The sequence below is a fragment of the Homo sapiens genome, chromosome 1 (assembly GCF_000001405.40).
Source record: "Homo sapiens chromosome 1, GRCh38.p14 Primary Assembly".
NCBI classification, from domain to species: Eukaryota; Metazoa; Chordata; class Mammalia; order Primates; family Hominidae; genus Homo; species Homo sapiens.
The window spans coordinates 46,951,813-46,968,954 of NC_000001.11; the positions used below are offsets into that span (position 1 = coordinate 46,951,813).

Below are 17,142 nucleotides of genomic sequence, written 5' to 3' on the forward strand. Positions count from 1 at the left end.
GGGACAGCTAAATTAGAAAGGAAGAAGTGAAATTGTCCTTGTTTACAGAGGACATAATATTATATACTGAAAAAACCTGGCAACCCCCTTTGGGTCCCCTCCCATTTTATGGGAGCTCTGTTTTCACTCTATTAAATCTTGCAACTGCACACTCTTCTGGTCTATGTTTGTTATGGCTTGAGCTGAGCTATCGCTTGCCATTCACCACGTCTGTTTTCCCGCAGACCTGCCACTGACTTCCATCCCTCCAGATCCAGCAGGGTGTCAGTGGCACTCCTGATCCAGCAAGGCACCCATTGCCACTCCCAAGTGGGCTAAAGGCTGGCCATTGTTCCTGCACAGTTAAGGGCCCAGGTTCATCCTAATCAAGCTGAATACTAGTCGCTGGGTTCCTCGGTTCTCTTCCATGTCCCATGGCTTCTGATAGAGCTATAACACTCACTACATGGCCCAATATTCCATTCCTTGGAATCTGTGAAGCCAAGAACCCCAGGTCAGAGAAAAAGAGGCTTGTCACCATCTTGGAAGTGGCCCACCATCATCTTGGGAGCTCTAAGAACAAGGACCACCCCCCAATAACATTTTGGCCACCACGAAGGCACGTCCAAAGTGGTGAGTAATATTGGACCACTTTCTCTTGCTACTCTGTCCTATCCTTCCTTAGAATTGGAGGAAAATACCAGGTGCCTGTCAGCTGGTTAAAAACGATTAGTGTGGCCACTGGACTTAAGACTCAGGTGTGAGGCTGTCTGGGAAAGGGCTTTCTAACAACCCCAGCCTTTTATGGGTTGGGAGTGTTGGTCTGCCTGGAACCAGCTTCTGCTTTCAATATTCCTGGGGAAGTCAAGGGTGGACTAGAGGCAGAAAGCTGACGTCCCAAACTGCTGGCATTAGCCAGTTGAGATCATGGCACAGCCAGAAGTCTCTACTCAGCATTCACTCATGCATACGCCCCTACCTTTCCTTCTGACCCATACCTCCTGGGTCCTGACCATGACTTTCTTGAAAGTGTAGCCCCAAAATTCTCCTTACTTCTGAATTGACTTCCTTTGATCCCTGCCTCCTAGATACTAATGCTTCAGGCTTTCACTTCCTCTCCCAAGTATTAGAACAGGTTGTATCTCCAAAGGGATCTAAGGAAGCTCTATGCTGCATCCTCAGGCCCCTAGGCTATGAACCCAGGGAGTCTTGTCCCCGGTGTCCCTCCCAATTTAGGCATACAGCTCTCCACATGGGCAGTTATGTGGGACCCGTTCCCCACCACCCTTGCCAGGGCCTTAGAACTGATAACCTAGTACTCTAACAACTGGAATTGGGTCTACAACAACATACTAGATCAAGATGAAAGCAAATTGAGTAAATAAAAGGGAGGCACATATTCCTATAGTGGCAAATGGGGGCAACCAGCGAACATCCTTCCATTCTGTTTCCAAAATGCATCTACAAAGACAGAAAGGAGAAAGAAAGAGAGAAAGAGAAAGATAGAAGTAGTAAAGAAAAAACAGTGTACCCTGTTTCTTTAAAAGCCAGGGTTAATTTAAAACCTATAATTGATGATTTAAGGTTTTCTCCATGACCCTATAACACTCCAATACCACTTTGTTGTCATTGTAAACAAGGGCATAGCCCAAAAGCACTGAGGCCACTGACAACCAGTGGCCTTCCTATCAAAAATCCTTAACCCAGGAACCTGCCAATGGCCCAGATGCATTCAATCTTTTGCGGCAACTACTTTCCTAACAGAAGAAAGTAGAAAATTAGCCTTTAGAGGAAACCTCATTGTGAGCCCACCTCACCAGTTCAGAACTATCCTAAGTTAAAAAAGCAAAAAGGGTAGGTTACTAACTCAAAAATCTGAAAGTATGGAGCTATTCTGTTAAAAAATGATAATTTAACATTAACCACTGAAAATTCCCTTCCCCCAGCAGATTTTCTGACAGGGGATTTAAATCTTAATTACCATACAAAGGTTCAACCACACCTAGGAGGAACTCCCTTCAGGACAGGACAACAGATGGTTCCTCCCAGGTGATTGAGAAAAAAACACAATGGGTATTCAATAATTGAAGGAAACTCCTGTAGATGCAGAGTTAAGAAAATTGCCTAATAACTGGTCTCCTCAAACGTGTGAGCTGTTTGCACTCAGCCAAGCCTTAAAGTACTTACAGAATCAAAAAGCTCTATCTCAATCCTGACTCAAAGTTTACCCGCATCCTCTCTGAAATGAATTTGCATAAGAGAGAACTGTTGCTTGTAGGAATGCATCTTGATGGGGCATCTGGGTTATTAGGAAATACTCAGGAACCCAGTGCAACTCTAGAACTCACCCCTGAGTGCAATGGCAATGTCAGGCATGCTGGTAAAGGACCACTAGAATCCAGCAGCCTGGACCCCTTTCTTTGTGGTCAAGAAAGGTGGGAAAACTGGTTCAGGACTGCCCCATTGGTGAACGTAACTAATCCAATAAGCAGAGGTCCACTGGTGGCTATGCACCCTAGAAAGGAACTCATCTCTGAGTGCAACAGCAGTGTTGGATATGCTGGTAAAGGACCTCTAGAACCCAGCAGCCCCATCCCCTTTCTTAGTGGTCAGGAAAGGCAGGAAAATAGGTGGAGGACTGCTACATCATTGAAAGTAACTAATCTGAAAAGCAGAGGTCCTTGAGTGGTTACGCACCTGAAAGGAATAAGCATTAGCTCCATAGAGGATGCTCTAGGTCTAATGCTCATCAGAAAATGACTAAGAGTGCTGGCATCCCTATGTTTTATTTTCAAATGGGAAACATTTCCCCCAAGGCAAAAATGCCCCTAAGATGTATTCTGGACAATTATGCCCAGTCAGAGTGTACATACCTTTTTCCCTGTCAGACTTGAAGCAAATTAAAATAGACCTAGGTAAATTCTCAGCTAAGACTGATAGATATTTTGATGTTTTACAAGTGTTAGGACGATCCTTTCATCTGACATGGAGAGATATAATGTTACTGCTAGATCAGACACTAACCCCAAATAAGAGAATTGCCGCCATAACTGCAGCCTGAGAGTTTGGTCATCTCTTGTATCTCAGTCAGGTCAATGATAGGATGACAACAGAGGAAAGAGAACAATTCCCCACAGGCCTGCATGCAGTTCCCCGTGTAGACACTCACTGGGACACAGAATCGGATCATGGAGATTGGTGCCACAGATATTTGCTAACTTGGGTGATACAAGGACTAAGGAAAAGTAGGAGATAGCCCATAAATTATTCAATTATGTCCACTGTAACACAGAGAAAGGAAGAAAATCCTACTGCCTTTCTGCAGAAACTAAGGGAGGCATTGAGGAAGCATACCTCTCTGTCACCTGACTCTATTGAAGGCTAACTAATCTTAAAGGATAAGTTTATCACTCAGTCAGCTGCAGACATTAGAAAAAAACTTCAAAAGTCCGCCTTAGGCCCAGAGCAAAACTTAGTTACTGGGTTCATAGCCCCATGACCCATGGCTTCTAATAGAGCTATTAGAACTATTGAACTTGGCAACCTTGTTTTTTTTATAATAGAGATCAGGAGGAGCAGGCACAATGGGAGAAACAAGAGAAGAAAAAGGCCACGGCTTTAGTCATGGCCCTCAGGCAAGCAGACTTTGGAGGCTCTGGAACACAGAAAGCTGGGCAAATTGAATGCCTAATAGGGCTTGCTTCCAGTGTGGTCTACAAGGACACTTTAAAAAAGATTGCCTGAATAGAAATAAGCCACCACCTCGTCCATGCCCCTTATGTCAAGGGAATCACTGGAAGGCCCACTGTCCCAGGAGATGAAGGTCCTCTGAGTCAGAAGCCACTAACCAGGTGATCCAGCAGAAGGACTGAGGATGCCCAGGGTAAGCACCAGCCCATGCCATCACCCTCACAGTGCCTCGGGTATGCTTGATCATTGAGGGCCAGGGGGTTAACTGTCTCCTGGACACTGGTGCAGCCTTCTCAGTCTTACTCTCCTGTCCTAGACAACTGTCCTCCAGATCTGTCACTATCCAAGGGGTCCTAGGACAGCCAATCACTAGATACTTCTCCCAGCCACTAAGTTGTGACTGGAGACATTTACTCTTTTGACATGCTTTTCTAGTTATGCCTGAAAGCCCCACTTCCTTGTTAGGAGGAGACATTCTAGCAAAAGCAGGGGCCATTATACACCTGAACATAGGAGAAGGAACACTCATTTGTTGTCCCCTGCTTGAGGAAGGAATTAATCCTGAAGTCTGGGCAACAGAAGGACAATATGGATGAGCAAAGAATGCCTGCCCTGTTCAAGTTAAACTAAAGGATTCCACCTCCTTTCCCTACCAAAGGCAGTACCCCCTTAGACCCGAGGCCTAGCAAGGGCTCCAAAGGATTGTTAAGGACCTAAAAGCCCAAGGCCTAGTAAAAACATGCAATAGCCACTGCAGTACTCCAATTTTAGGAGTACAGAAACCCAACGGGCAGTGGAGGCTAGTGCAAGATCTCAGGATTATCAATGAGGCCGTTGTCCCTCTACACCCAGCTGTACCTAACCCTTATACTCTGCTTTCCCAAATACCAGAGGAAGCAGAGTGGTTTACAGTCCTGGACCTTAAGGATGTCTTTTTCTGCATCCCTGTACATCCTGACTCTCAATTCTTGTTTGCCTTTGAAGATCCTTCAAACCCAACATCTCAACTCACCTGGATTGTTTTACCCCAAGGGTTCAGGGATAGCCCCCATCTATTTGGCCAGGCACTAGCTCAAGACTTGAGCCAGTTCTCATACCTGGACACTCCTCTCCTTCAGCACATGGATGATTTACTTTTAGCTGCCCTTTCAGAAACCTTGTGCCATCAAGCCACCCAAGCATTCTTTAATTTCCTCTCCACCTGTGCTATAAGGTTTCCAAACAAAAGGATCAGCTCTGCTCACAGTAGGTTAAATACTTAGTGCTAAAATTATCCAAAGGCACCAGGGCCCTCAGTGAGGAACATATCCAGCCTATCCTGGCTTTTCCTCATCCCAAAACCGTAAAGCAACTAAGAGCGTTCCTTGGCATAACAGGCTTCTGCTGAATATAGATTCCCTGGTACAGCAAAATAGCCAGATCATTATATACACTAATTAAGGAAACTCAGAAAGGCAATACCCATTTAGTAAGATGGACACCTGAAGCAGAAGTGACTTTCCAGGCCCTAAAGAAGGCCCTAACCTAAGCTCCAGTGTTAAGCTTGCCAACGTGGCAAGACTTTTCTTTATATGTCACAGAAAAAACAGGAATAGCTCTAGGAGTCCTTACACAGGTCTGACGGACCAGCTTGCAACCTGTGACATACCTGAGTAAGGAAATTGATGTAGTGGCAAAGGGTTGGCCTCATCGTTTATGGGTAGTGGCAGCAGTAGCAGTATTAGTATCTGAAGCAGTTAAAATGATACAGGGAAGAGATCTTACTGTGTGAACATCTCAAGATGTGAATGGCATACTCACTGCTAAAGGAGACTTGTGGATGTCAGACAACCATTTGCTTAAATATCAGCATCTATTACTTGAAGGGCCAGTGCTGCGACTGCGCCCTTGTGCAACTCTTAATCCAGCCACATTTCTTCCAGACAATGAAGAAAAAATAAAACATAACTGTCAACAAGTAACTGCTCAAACCTACACCACTCAAGGGGACCTTCTAGAGGTTCCCTTGACTGATCATGATCTCAACTTGTATGCTGATGGAAATTCCTTTGTAGAAAAAGGACTTTGAAAAGTGGGGTATGCAGTGGTCAGTGATAATGGAATACTTGAAAATAATCCCCTCACTCCAGGAAGAAGCGCTTAGCTGGAAGAACGAATAGCTCTCACTCAGGCAATAGAATTAGGAGAAGGAAAAAGGGTAAATATATATACAGACTCTAAGTATGCTTAGCTAGTCCTCCATGCCCACACAGCAATATGGAGAGAAAGGAAATTCCTGACTTCCAAAGGAACACCCATCAAACATCAGGAAGCCATCAGGAGATTATTATCGGCTGTACAGAAACCTAAAGAGGTGGCAATCTTATGCTGCCGGGGTCATCAGAAAGGAAAAGAAAGGGAAATAGAAGGGAACTGCCAAACGGATATCAAAGCCAAAATAGCTGCAAGGTAGGACCCTCCATTAGAAATACTTATAGAAGGACCCCTAGTATGGGGTAATCCCCTCTGGGAAACCAAGCCCCAGTACTCAGCAGGAGAAATAGAATGGGGAAACTCATGAGGACATAGTTTCCTCTCCTCAGGATGGCTAGGCACCAAAGAAGGAAAAATACTTTTGCCTGCAGCTAACCAATGGAAATGACTTAAAACCCTTCACCAAACCTTTCATTTAGGCATTGATAGTACCCATCAGCAGGCCAAATTATTATCTACTGGACCAGACCTTTTCAAAACTTTCGAGCAGATAGTCAGGGCCTGTAAAATGTGCCAAAGAAATAATCCCCTGCACTGCAGGCCATACATTTCAATCCCTGTATCTTTAACCTCCTTGTTAAGTTTATCTCTTCCAGAATCAAAGCTGTAAAACTACAAATCATTCTTCAAATGGAGCCCCAGATGCAGTCCATGACTAAGATCTACTGTGGACCCCTGGACTGGCCTGCTAGCTCATGCTAGCACCCCTACTGACATTGACAGCACCCCTCCTGAGGAAATCTCAACTGCATGACCCCTACTATGCCCCAGTTCAGCAGGAAGCAGTTAGAATGGTCATCGGCCAACCTCCCCAACAGCACTTGGGTTTTCCTGTTGAGAAAGGGGACTGAGAGACAGGACTAGCTGGATTTCCTAGGCTGACTAAGAATCCCTAAGCCTAGCTGGGAAGGTGACCACATCCACCTTTAAACACGGGGCTTGCAACTTAGCTCACACCCAACCAATTGGGCAGTAAAGAGAGCTCACTAAAATGCTAATTAGGCTAAAACAGGAGGCAAAGAAGTAGCCAATCATCTATTGCCTGAGAGCACAGCAGGAGGGACAATGATCAGGATATAAACCCAGTATTCGAGCTGGCAATGGCAATCCCCTTTGGGTCCCCTCCCATTTTATGGGAGCTCTGTTTTCACTCTATTAAATCTTGCAACTGCAAAAAGAAAAAAAAAAAGAGAGAAAAAGAAAAAAAAGAGAAAAAACCCAAATGCTCTACCAAAAAACAAAAAACCTGTTACAACCAATAAACAAATTCAGTGAAGTTGCACAATACAAATCAAAATACAAAACCTGTAGCATTTATATACACGAATCATAAACTAGTTGAAAATAAAACTAAGAAAGGAATCCCGTTTAAAATAGTTACAAAATATACCTAAAAATAAATTTAACCAAGGAGGTGAAAAATATGTATACTGAGAACTATAGAACATTGATAAAAGAAATTAAAGAAGACACATATAAAAATGGAAAGGCACCCCATGTTCATGAACTTGAACAATTAATATTGTTAAAATAAGCATACTGCACAAAGCAATATACAGGGTCAATACAATCCTTATCAAAATACCAGCGACATTCTTCACAGAAATAGAAAAAAATTCAAACATTCATAGAGAACCACAAAAGACCCCAATAGTCAAAGCAATGCTGAGAAAAAGAATAAAACTGGAGGCATCACGCTACCAGACTTCAAAATATATACAAAGCTATAATAACCAAAACAGAATAGTCCTGGGATAAAAAAGACGTAGAACAATGCAAGAGAATAGAGAACACAGAAATTAATTTACATATCCATTGTCAGCTGATTTTTGACAAAGGTGCCAAGAATAGTCATTGGGAAAGTACAGTCTCTTTAATAAACAGTGCTGGGAAAACTGGATATCCATAAGTAGCTGAATGAAACTAGACCCCTATTTCTCACCCCTATTTCTCATGCAAGAACCAACTCAAAATGGATTAATGACATAAATTTAAGACCCTGAAACCATAAAACTACTAGAATAAAATGGGGGGAAAATGCTTCAGGACATTGGTCTGGGAAAAAATTTTATGAATAACACCTCAAAAGCAATGGCAACCAAAGGAAAAATGAACAAATGAGATTATATCAAACTAAGAAGTTTCTGCATATCAAGGAAAATAATCAATAAAGTGAAAAGATAGCCAGGAGAAAAGATTTGCAAACTACTAATCAGACAGCAGATTAATATCCACAGTATACAAGAAACTCAAACATCTCAACTCAGAAAAAAATCTGATTAAAAATGAGCAAATGATCTGAACAGATATTTCTCAAAAGAGGACATACAAATGGTCAACAGGTGTATGAACATAATGCTCAACATCACTAATCATCAAGGAAATGTAAATCAAAAGCACAATGATATATCATATCCCAGTTAGGATGATTGTTATCAAAAAGACAAAATGGCAACAACAACAAAAACAACACTAGGAAGAATGCCAAAAAAGGAAACTCATATACACTGTTGGTGGGAATGTACAGTAGTACAACCACTGGAGAATGACATGGAGGTTTCTCAAAAACCTACAAAGAGAACTCACACGTGATCCAGCAATTTTCCTGCTGGGTATTTATCAAAAGGAAAGAAAAGGAAGGAACATCAGTGTACTGAAAGGATATCTGTACCTTCATGTTTATTGCAGCATGATTCACAAGAATCAACATGTGAAATCAACCCAGTGTTCAACAACAGATGACTGGATGAAGAAAATGTAATATATACACACAATGGACTACTGTTTAGCCATAAAAAAATAAAATGCTGTCATTGATGGCAACATGGAAAGAACTGGATGACATTATATTAATTGAAATAAGTCAGGAAAAGAAACTGCATGTTGTCACCCTTATGCAGAGGCTAAAAATAGTTGATGTCATAGTTGTAAAAGGTTAGTAGAGTCTGCAGAGGTTAGTAGAGTCTGGGAAGGGAGGTGTAGTGAGAGATTTTTTTAAAGGACACAAAATTATAGCTAGATAGGAGGAATAAGTTTTCATGGGTATAGCACTGTAGGATGACTATAGCTAACAACAATATATGTTTTCAAATAGAAGAGAGCATATTGAGTGTTCCTAACACAAAGAAATGACAAATGTTTGAGATGATGGCTATGCTAATTGCCAATGGTCGCTATACACTGTATGTATGAAAACATCAAAAAATACCTCTAAATATGTACAATGATTATGTGTCAATTTGAAAAATATTTTTTAAATGTGTTGAATGATACAAGGGTGGAATAGAGATAATTTCTCTATTGCACAACAAGCAACTATTACTTTTATAAAGAAAATGCTTTAATGTGGACAAGAAAGTGCTTTCTGGCTGCAGTGCAGTAGAGAGTTGGTGGCAGGTGTGAGGTGGAAGCAAGTTGGCTAGTTTGGAGGTTGTTGAGCTAACCCCAGTGTAAGAAGAGGGTGGCTTGGACTTAGAACAGTGGGTGTGAGGCTGGAGTGGGCACTGAAACCAGAGATGTTTAGGAGAGGGAGGTACAGGAGTGGGAGGGAAGCTCCCACAGACTGCCTGGGCAGTCTCCTCCCCTGCCCTCCCAGAGACTTCGGGCTTTAGTGGTGATACTGGATTCCTAAGTGGCCTTGGCCTTCTGTTATTTCAGATCCAGCAGATGGGGAGACTGAACAAAGTGGTATCCTGGGCCCACCAGTTTTTCTACACTCACCCACTCTGGTTTGAACCGTTCACTGGCTTCCAGAACATTTGAGCCCAACTATGTCAAAGCTGTGTGTAGCCACAGGGGTGAGGTGTTCTTGGGAGAGCTGCTCTTCCTGAGAACAAAGGGCTCAGGCTATGATGTGGGGAGGAGGCCTGGACCTGTGTCCTATGCCTGGGCAGCTGAAGTTCCCACCCTGCTTATCAAGGTGCCTCCTCTGGGAACCCCCTAGTCTCTATTTGACCCAACCAACTTCTTCACTTGCAGAACCTCAAGCCCTAATATGTATGACTTCTTCCTCCAGTGGATTGGTGAGTAAGCACCTGCCTTTCTTGCCTTGCCCACCCCAGACCCTTGGTGCTGGATGACCTCTGCCCTGCCCTACTTAGTTGGTTATCCCATCAAACAGACAACCTGGCCTCTTTGTGCCTGTCTTAGGTTCAGTTGCTTTTTGGGGAGTCAGAGAAGGGGAGAGGAGAGCTTCTGGCTGGCTGGCAGGGGACATGGACCCAGGCACTTTCTCTTGCCAGGTTGTCTTCTACCCTGGATAGGCATCTTTCCCACTGGTCATGTTTCTCTGCTAAATCCCTGATTAAGACACATTTTGGTCCAAAGACTGGTACTAAAGAGACTGAATCTGAAGTATGAGCTTTCTTTTTTCTGTCTTTCTTTCTTTCTTTTTTGTTTTTCAAGATGGAGTTTCACTCTTTTTTTCTCAGGCTGGAGTGCAATGGCCTGATAGCTCACTGCAGCCTCCGCCTCCCGGGTTCGAGTGATTCTCCTGCCTCAGCCTCCCAAGTAGCTGGGATTACAGGTGCACACTGCCACGCCTGGCTAATTTTTCATATTTTTAGTAGAGAAGGGGTTTCACCATGTTGGTCAGGCTGGTCTCAAACTCCTGACCTCAAGGGATCTGCCCACCTCGGTCTCCCAAAGTGTTGGGATTACAGGAGTGAGCCACCTTGCCTGGCCAAGTATGAGTTTTCTGAATTGATTCTGGGTTTCCTGGAATTTGTTCCCTAATCTGACTAGTTAAAAAGTAACCAATTACTGTTTTCAGTGGTAAAGAGAACACTGGTAGTCCATGGCAAAGAAGTTAAAAACGTTGAAAAAAGATTAGACGAATGGCTAACTAGAATAACCAATTTGATTGCACTGTGGTCTGAGAGATAGTTTGTTATAATTTCTGTTCTTCTACATTTGCTGAGGAGTGCTTTACTTCCAACTATGTGGTCAATTTTGGAATAAGTGCAGTGTCGTTCTGAGAAGAATGTATATTCTGTTGATTTGGGGTGGAGAGTTCTGTAGATATGTATTAGGTCTGCTTGGTGCAGAGATGAATTCAATTCTTGGATATCGGTTGTTAACTTTCTGTCTCATTGATCTGTCTAATGTTGACAGTGGGGTGTTAAAGTCTCCCATTATTATTGTGTGGGAGTCTAAGTCTCTTTGTAGGTCTCTAAGGACTTACTTTATGAATCTGGGTGCTCCTATATTGGGTGCATATATATTTAGGATAGTTAGCTCTTCTTGTTGAATTGATCCCTTTACCATTATATAATGGCCTTCTTTGTCTCTTTTGATCTTTGTTGGTTTAAAGTCTGTTTTATTAGAGACTAGAATTGCAACCCCTGCCTTTTTTTTGTTTTCCATTTGTTTGGTAGATCTTCCTCCATCCCTTTATTTTGAGCCTATGTGTGTCTCCACATGTGGGATGGGTTTCCTGAATACAGCACACTGATGGGTCTTGACTCTTTATCCAATTTGCCAGTCTGTGTCTTTTAGTTGGAGCATTTAGCCCATTTACATTTAAGGTTAATATTGTTATGTGTGAATTTGATCCTGTCATTATGATGTTAGCTGGTTATTTTGCTCATTAGTTGATGCAGTTTCTTCCTAGCATTGATGGTCTTTACAATCTGGCATGTTTTTGCGGTGGCTGGTACTGGTTGTTCCTTTCCATCTTTAGTGCTTCCTTCAGGAGCTCTTGTAAGGCAGGCCTGGTGGTGACAAAATCTCTCAGCATTTGCTTGTCTGTAAAGTATTTTATTTCTCCTTCACTTAGTTTGGCTGGATATGAAATTCTGGGTGGAAAATTCTTTTCTTTAAAAATGTTGAATATTGGCCTCCACTCTCTTCTGGCTTGTAGAGTTTGTGCCGAGAGATCAGCTGTTAGTCTGATGGGCTTCCCTTTGTGGGTGACCTGACCTTTCTCTCTGGCTGTCCTTAACATTTTTTCCTTCATTTCAACTTCAGTGAATCTGACAATTATGTGTCTTGGAGTTGCTCTTCTTGACGAGTATCTTTGTGGCATTCTTTTTATTTCCTGAATCTGAATGTTGGCCTGCCTTGCTAGATTGGGAAGTTCTCCTGGATAATATCCTGAAGAGTGTTTTCCAACTTGGTTCCATTCTCCCCGTCACTTTCAGGTACACCAATCAGACATAGATTTGGTCTCTTCACATAGTCCCATATTTCTTGGAGGCTTTGTTCATTTCTTTTTATTCTTTTTTCTCTAAACTTCTCTTCTCACTTCATTTCATTCATTTGATCTTCCATCACTGATACCCTTTCTTCCAGTTGATTGAATCGGCTACTGAGGCTTATGCATTCATCACGTAGTTCTCGTGCCATGGTTTTCAGCTCCATCAGGTCCTTTAAGGACTTCTCTACATTGGTTATTCTAGTTATCCATTCGTCTAATCTTTTTTCAAGGTTTTTTACTTCTTTGCCATGGGTTCAAACTTCCTCCTTTAGCTCAGATAAGTTTGATCGTCTGAAGCCTTCTCTCAATGCATCAAAGTCATTCTCCGTCCATCTTTGTTCTGTTGCTGGTGAGAAGCTGCGTTCCTTTGGAGGAAGAGAGGCGCTCGATTTTTAGAGTTTCCAGTTTTTCTGCTCTGTTTTATCCCCTTCTTTGTGGTTTTATCTACCTTTGGACTTTGATGATGGTGACGTACAGGTGGGGTTTTGGTGTGGATGTCCTTTCTGTTTGTTAGTTTTCCTTCTAACAGTCAGGACCCTCAGCTGCAGGTCTGCTGGTGTTTGCTGGAGGTCCACTCCAGACCCTGTTTGCCTGGGTATCAGCAGTGGAGGCTGCAGAACAGTGAATATTGGTGAACAGCAGATGTTGCTGCCTGATCATTCCTCTGGAAATTTTGTCTCAGAGGGGTACCTGACCATGTGAGGTGTCAGTCTGCCCCTACTGGGGGTGCCTCCCAGTTAGGCTACTTGGGGGTCAGGGACCCACTTGAGGTGGCAGTCTGTCTGTTCTCAGATCTCCAGCTGCATGCTGGGAGAACCACTACTCTCTTCAAAGATGCCAGACAGGGACATTTAAGTCTGCAGAGGTTTCTGCTGCCTTTTGTTTGGCTATGCCCTGCCCCCAGTGGTGGAGTCTACAGAGGTAGGCAGGACTCCTTGAGCTGCAGTGGGCTTCACCCAGTTCGAGCTTCCCGGCCGCTTTGTTTACCTACTCAAGCCTCGGCAATGGTGGGCGCTCCTCCCCTAGCCTCACTGCCGCCTTGCAGTTTGATCTCAGACTGCTGTGCTAGCAATGAGTGAGGCACCTTGGGTGTAGGACCCTCCAAGCCAGGCACAGGATATAGTCTCCTGGTGTGCCATTTGCTAAGACCATCAGAAAAGTGCAGTATTAGGGTGGGAGTGACCCAATTTTCCAGGTGCCATCTGTCACCCCTTTCCTTGGCTAGGAAAGGGAATTCCCTGACCCCTTGCACTTCCCGGGTGAGGCGATGCCTCGCCCTGAATTGGCTCATGCTCGGTGTGCTGCACCCACTGTGCTGCACCTACTTTCCTGCACCCACTGTCTGACAATACCCAGTGAGATGAACCCAGTACCTCAGTTGGAAATGCAGAAATTATCCATCTTCTGCATTGCTCACGCTGGGAGCTGTAGACTGGAGCTGATCCTATTCAGCCATCTTGGAACTGCCCCCACTCTTTTTTGTTGATGTTGTTGTTGTTTCCTGTTTTTTGTTTTTCTTTTAACTCTCAGGCCACTCTACTGTAGGGCTGCTGCAGTTTGCTGGCAGTGCACTGCAGACCTTTGTTGCTTCGGTGGGATACCTGGAGGTATCACATGTGAAGGCTGTGAAACAGCAAAGATGGAGGCCAGCTCCTTCCTCTGGAAGCTCTGTCCCAGCGGGGTACTGAGTTGTTGCTGGCCTGAATGCACCTGGAAACCCCTGTTGGGAGGTCTCACTCAGTCAGAAGAGCAGGATCAGGGACCAGCTTAAAGAAGCAGTCTGGCTTCTTTTTAGTACAGCAGGTGTGCTGCATTGCAGCAGGGGTCCTTCCTCATCTGGACCATTTGTATTCTCTATAGCTGGCAGGCTGGAATGTCTGAGTTGGCCAAACCATGGAGATGATGGCCACGCCTCCCCTCAGGAGCTCCATCCTGGGAGAGACCAGAGCCCTATCCATAGAACCCTGGCTGGAGTGATGGAAGCCCCCACAGGGAGATCTCACTCAGTGAGAAGGAATGGATCAGGGTCCTGCTTAAAGAAGCAGTCTGACCACAATCTGGCAAGGCAGCTGTGCTGCTTTGTGGGAGATCCTTCCTTGTCTGGACCATTTGTATTCTCCAAAGCCGGCAGACTGGAACAGCTGAGTCTACCAAACTGCAAAAATGGCTGCCACTCCTCCCACTAAAAACTCAACACTTTTCAGGCAGATTCCAGGCTGCTGCTGTTGGTTGGCTAGAATTCCAAACCAGTGGGTTTTAACCTGTGAGATGCCATGGAAATGGGGCCCACAGAATGACAGTGCTTGGCTCGCCGGATTCAGCCCTCTTCCTAGGGATATGTATGGTTGGATTTTCTGCCTTGCCAAGGATCCCAGGGCTGGATTATGTAAAACTCCTGGGTTGCTGTGTGGGCCTGAGTTGCTGCTCTGCTGAGACTCCACACAGCTCTGTGTATCTGACCCAAGGCCCTAGTGGCTTGGGCTCACTAGAGGATCTCCTGGTCCATGGGTTTTAAAGATCCATGGGAGAAGTGTGGTTTCCTGGGTGGGGTCGTACAATCAGTCACTGCTTCTCTTGGCTGGGGGTTGGGGTTTCTTTGGCTCTGTGCCACTTCTGGGTGGGCCATTGCCTTCCTCTTTCTTTTCTTCATTCTCCATGGGCTGAATTGTTTGCCTAGTCAGTCCCAAGGCAAGAACCTGGATATTTCAGTTGTAGGCACTGAATTCACTCGCCCCTTTTCATTTCTCTTCATGAGTGCCATGGACTGCAGCTGCTTATAATCAGCCATCTTGGACAAAATCCCATTCACAATTAACATTAGATATATTAATAATAGTTAACTTTAATATTCTCTTTAGAGAATCACTGTATTTAAGTTACAGAATATTAAAGAGAAGGGTGAATGTCATTCAATGACTTTGCATTGCCTTTGTGAGGGAAAGGTTAATGTACTTCCAATTGTGTATAGGAGAGTTAGCAAAAGTATGACTTTGTCATAGTTTTTACTGGCAGATTAAGTAGACCCTAAGGGGATGTGTATAGATGCCAAATTGACAAGGTATGAAATGTGTTGTTTAATTTTACATGTTAACTTGGACAGGCTGTAATACCCAGTTATTCAATTAAATGCTATTCCAGATGTTGTGAAGAGATTTTGTGGTTGTAGTTAACATCTACAATCAGTTGACTTCAAGAAAAAGAGATAACTCTTGATAATTTATGTAGACTTAATTCAATCACTAATAGGCCTGTAGAGCAAAGCTCTAGGAGCTGAAAAAGTGGAAGAAAAGAGATTCTCCCTAGAGCCCCTCAACACCTTGGATTTGGAGCAAGAAAATCCAATTCAAATGTGAGACCTCCAGACATTTAAGACTATAAATTTCTGCTGTTTTAAGGCACTGACGTTGTGGTAGTTAATTACAGCACCAATAGGAAACTCATACAAAAGCAGAAAAGCAGGCAGAAGGAATAAGAAAGAAATGGGGGCAGACAGGCTGGAGGGCAGGCAGGAGATTGGTTGCTGGATGGACAGTCTGTGATGCAGGTAGGCAGGAGAGAGGTAGAGCAGCAGATACAGAGCCTAGGGAAAGGTGAGAGAAAGAAGGGCAGACAACATGGAGTACAGAAGGGAGGATAGCAGGTAGATGGGAAGAAGGCAGGTGGGCCGATAGAAAGCAGGATGTGGGCAGACAGGCAGGAGACAGGAGCAGGGGTGAGGAAGACAGGGTGGCAGGTGGAGGCCCTCAGAGCTGGTCCTTGTCCCCACAATGGTTAGGGACCCTCCTGAGATGCAGGTGGATTCCACTTTTGAACTTCAGCAAAATTCATGGTATGCCGACCGGGATCCTGGTGGGATCAGGCAGCAGCTCAAAGCGGAGCAGGGTCAGGGCCATGGCCACCTTTAGCTCATTCATGGCAAATTTTTTCCCAATGCAGGTCCTGAGCCAGGCAGACAGTGAATTGATAAGAGGCCTCAGTCCCCATTATGAGCTGGAAATTCATGAATGGTTAAAGGGTTAATCAATGGTTTGTTCACTCTTCCACAGTGTGTGGTTCTGCAGTGTGGAAGCCAAGTTCAGGTCACTGTAGGGTGAGGGTGGGCCACACTCTCAGGTTTTCCCCATGTAGAGGGATGCCCAGGGACTAGGATCCTTAGGAAGGGGCCCAGATGGGTGGGCAGGGGAGTCAGAAGGGCACTAGAAATTTTTCTGAAGGGGCACTTTGTGGATGGATGGTCCTCAGCTGCTGCCTCACTTGCTTCCCAGTCTAGGGGCCAGGCTTCTGCCTCCCCTTACTCCTTCATTACCCATGCCTGTAGCCTTATAATTCTACTCCAGAAATGTCCCTCCTTGTTGTCCAACAATCTTCTTGCCTGGACTCTCTGGCGTCCCTGCTTCCCCTTTCTCCACACTGAAGCCACATCCCAGCTTAGACCCTCCCATGCTCTTCATCACAGCTGGGCAGCATCCTAATGCCCCAGCTGTCAGCCAGCCCTCCATGGACTGTTGCCTCGCCCACCTCTTACCTGTGCAGCCCATGTCCTTGTCCCATACATGTAGAGATGGCTGAGAACATTCTCCTTCCACCACTGCCTGTAACATCCTCAAGGCTATGGCCAGGGACCTGCCTCTCACCTTCTGCTGGCTGTGCCTCTCCCTCCCCAGTACCCCAAGGCAGCTTTTTCCCTTATCCATGAACAGTCACAGTCCAGTGCCTAGGATAGCACCATGAACACTCAACGAGGCACTCAGTGATTGAGTGAGTGAGTGAGTGAGTGAGTGAAAGGATGGATGAGGGAGCAATGTTTGTCTGAAGCACAGGATGTGTTTCTATATAACACGTTTTGTCCTTGACTGTACTTAGAGGCAAGAGCAGTGCCTTGTATCTTTGTTTTCCCATCATGGTGTATGGGACTTTACCCTCAGACACAGGCTTAATAGATACTGTTATATTTAAATGACATTACTTGGGTTTTGAAAATGAATGAAATAGAATGGAATACAGTGAGAGTCAGTATTAGTTCT

General features: G+C 44.4%; 1 protein-coding gene and 1 pseudogene across 1 annotated transcript in view, besides 1 other annotated feature; one reads left to right on the forward strand and one right to left on the reverse strand.

The window, feature by feature from the left end:
- CYP4X1 (cytochrome P450 family 4 subfamily X member 1) overlaps positions 9,552-17,142 on the forward strand; it is a 94,069-nt gene continuing 86,478 nt past the window's right edge. The window contains exon 1 of the mRNA NM_001320289.2: positions 9,552-9,944. Coding sequence (NP_001307218.1) covers positions 9,771-9,944 — 174 coding nt within the window. The 5' untranslated portion in view covers positions 9,552-9,770. The remainder of the gene's footprint in view (positions 9,945-17,142) is intronic.
- On the reverse strand, positions 15,669-16,054 carry CYP4A26P (cytochrome P450 family 4 subfamily A member 26, pseudogene; annotated as a pseudogene).
- Positions 16,708-16,899: a silencer, noted in NCBI's record as "fragment chr1:47434192-47434383 (GRCh37/hg19 assembly coordinates)". NCBI's record gives its function as "represses an EF-1alpha promoter that drives an FKBP-Casp9 reporter gene in an ReSE screen in K562 erythroleukemia cells {active_cell/tissue: K562}" and the evidence as "EXISTENCE:reporter gene assay evidence [ECO:0000049][PMID:32094911]".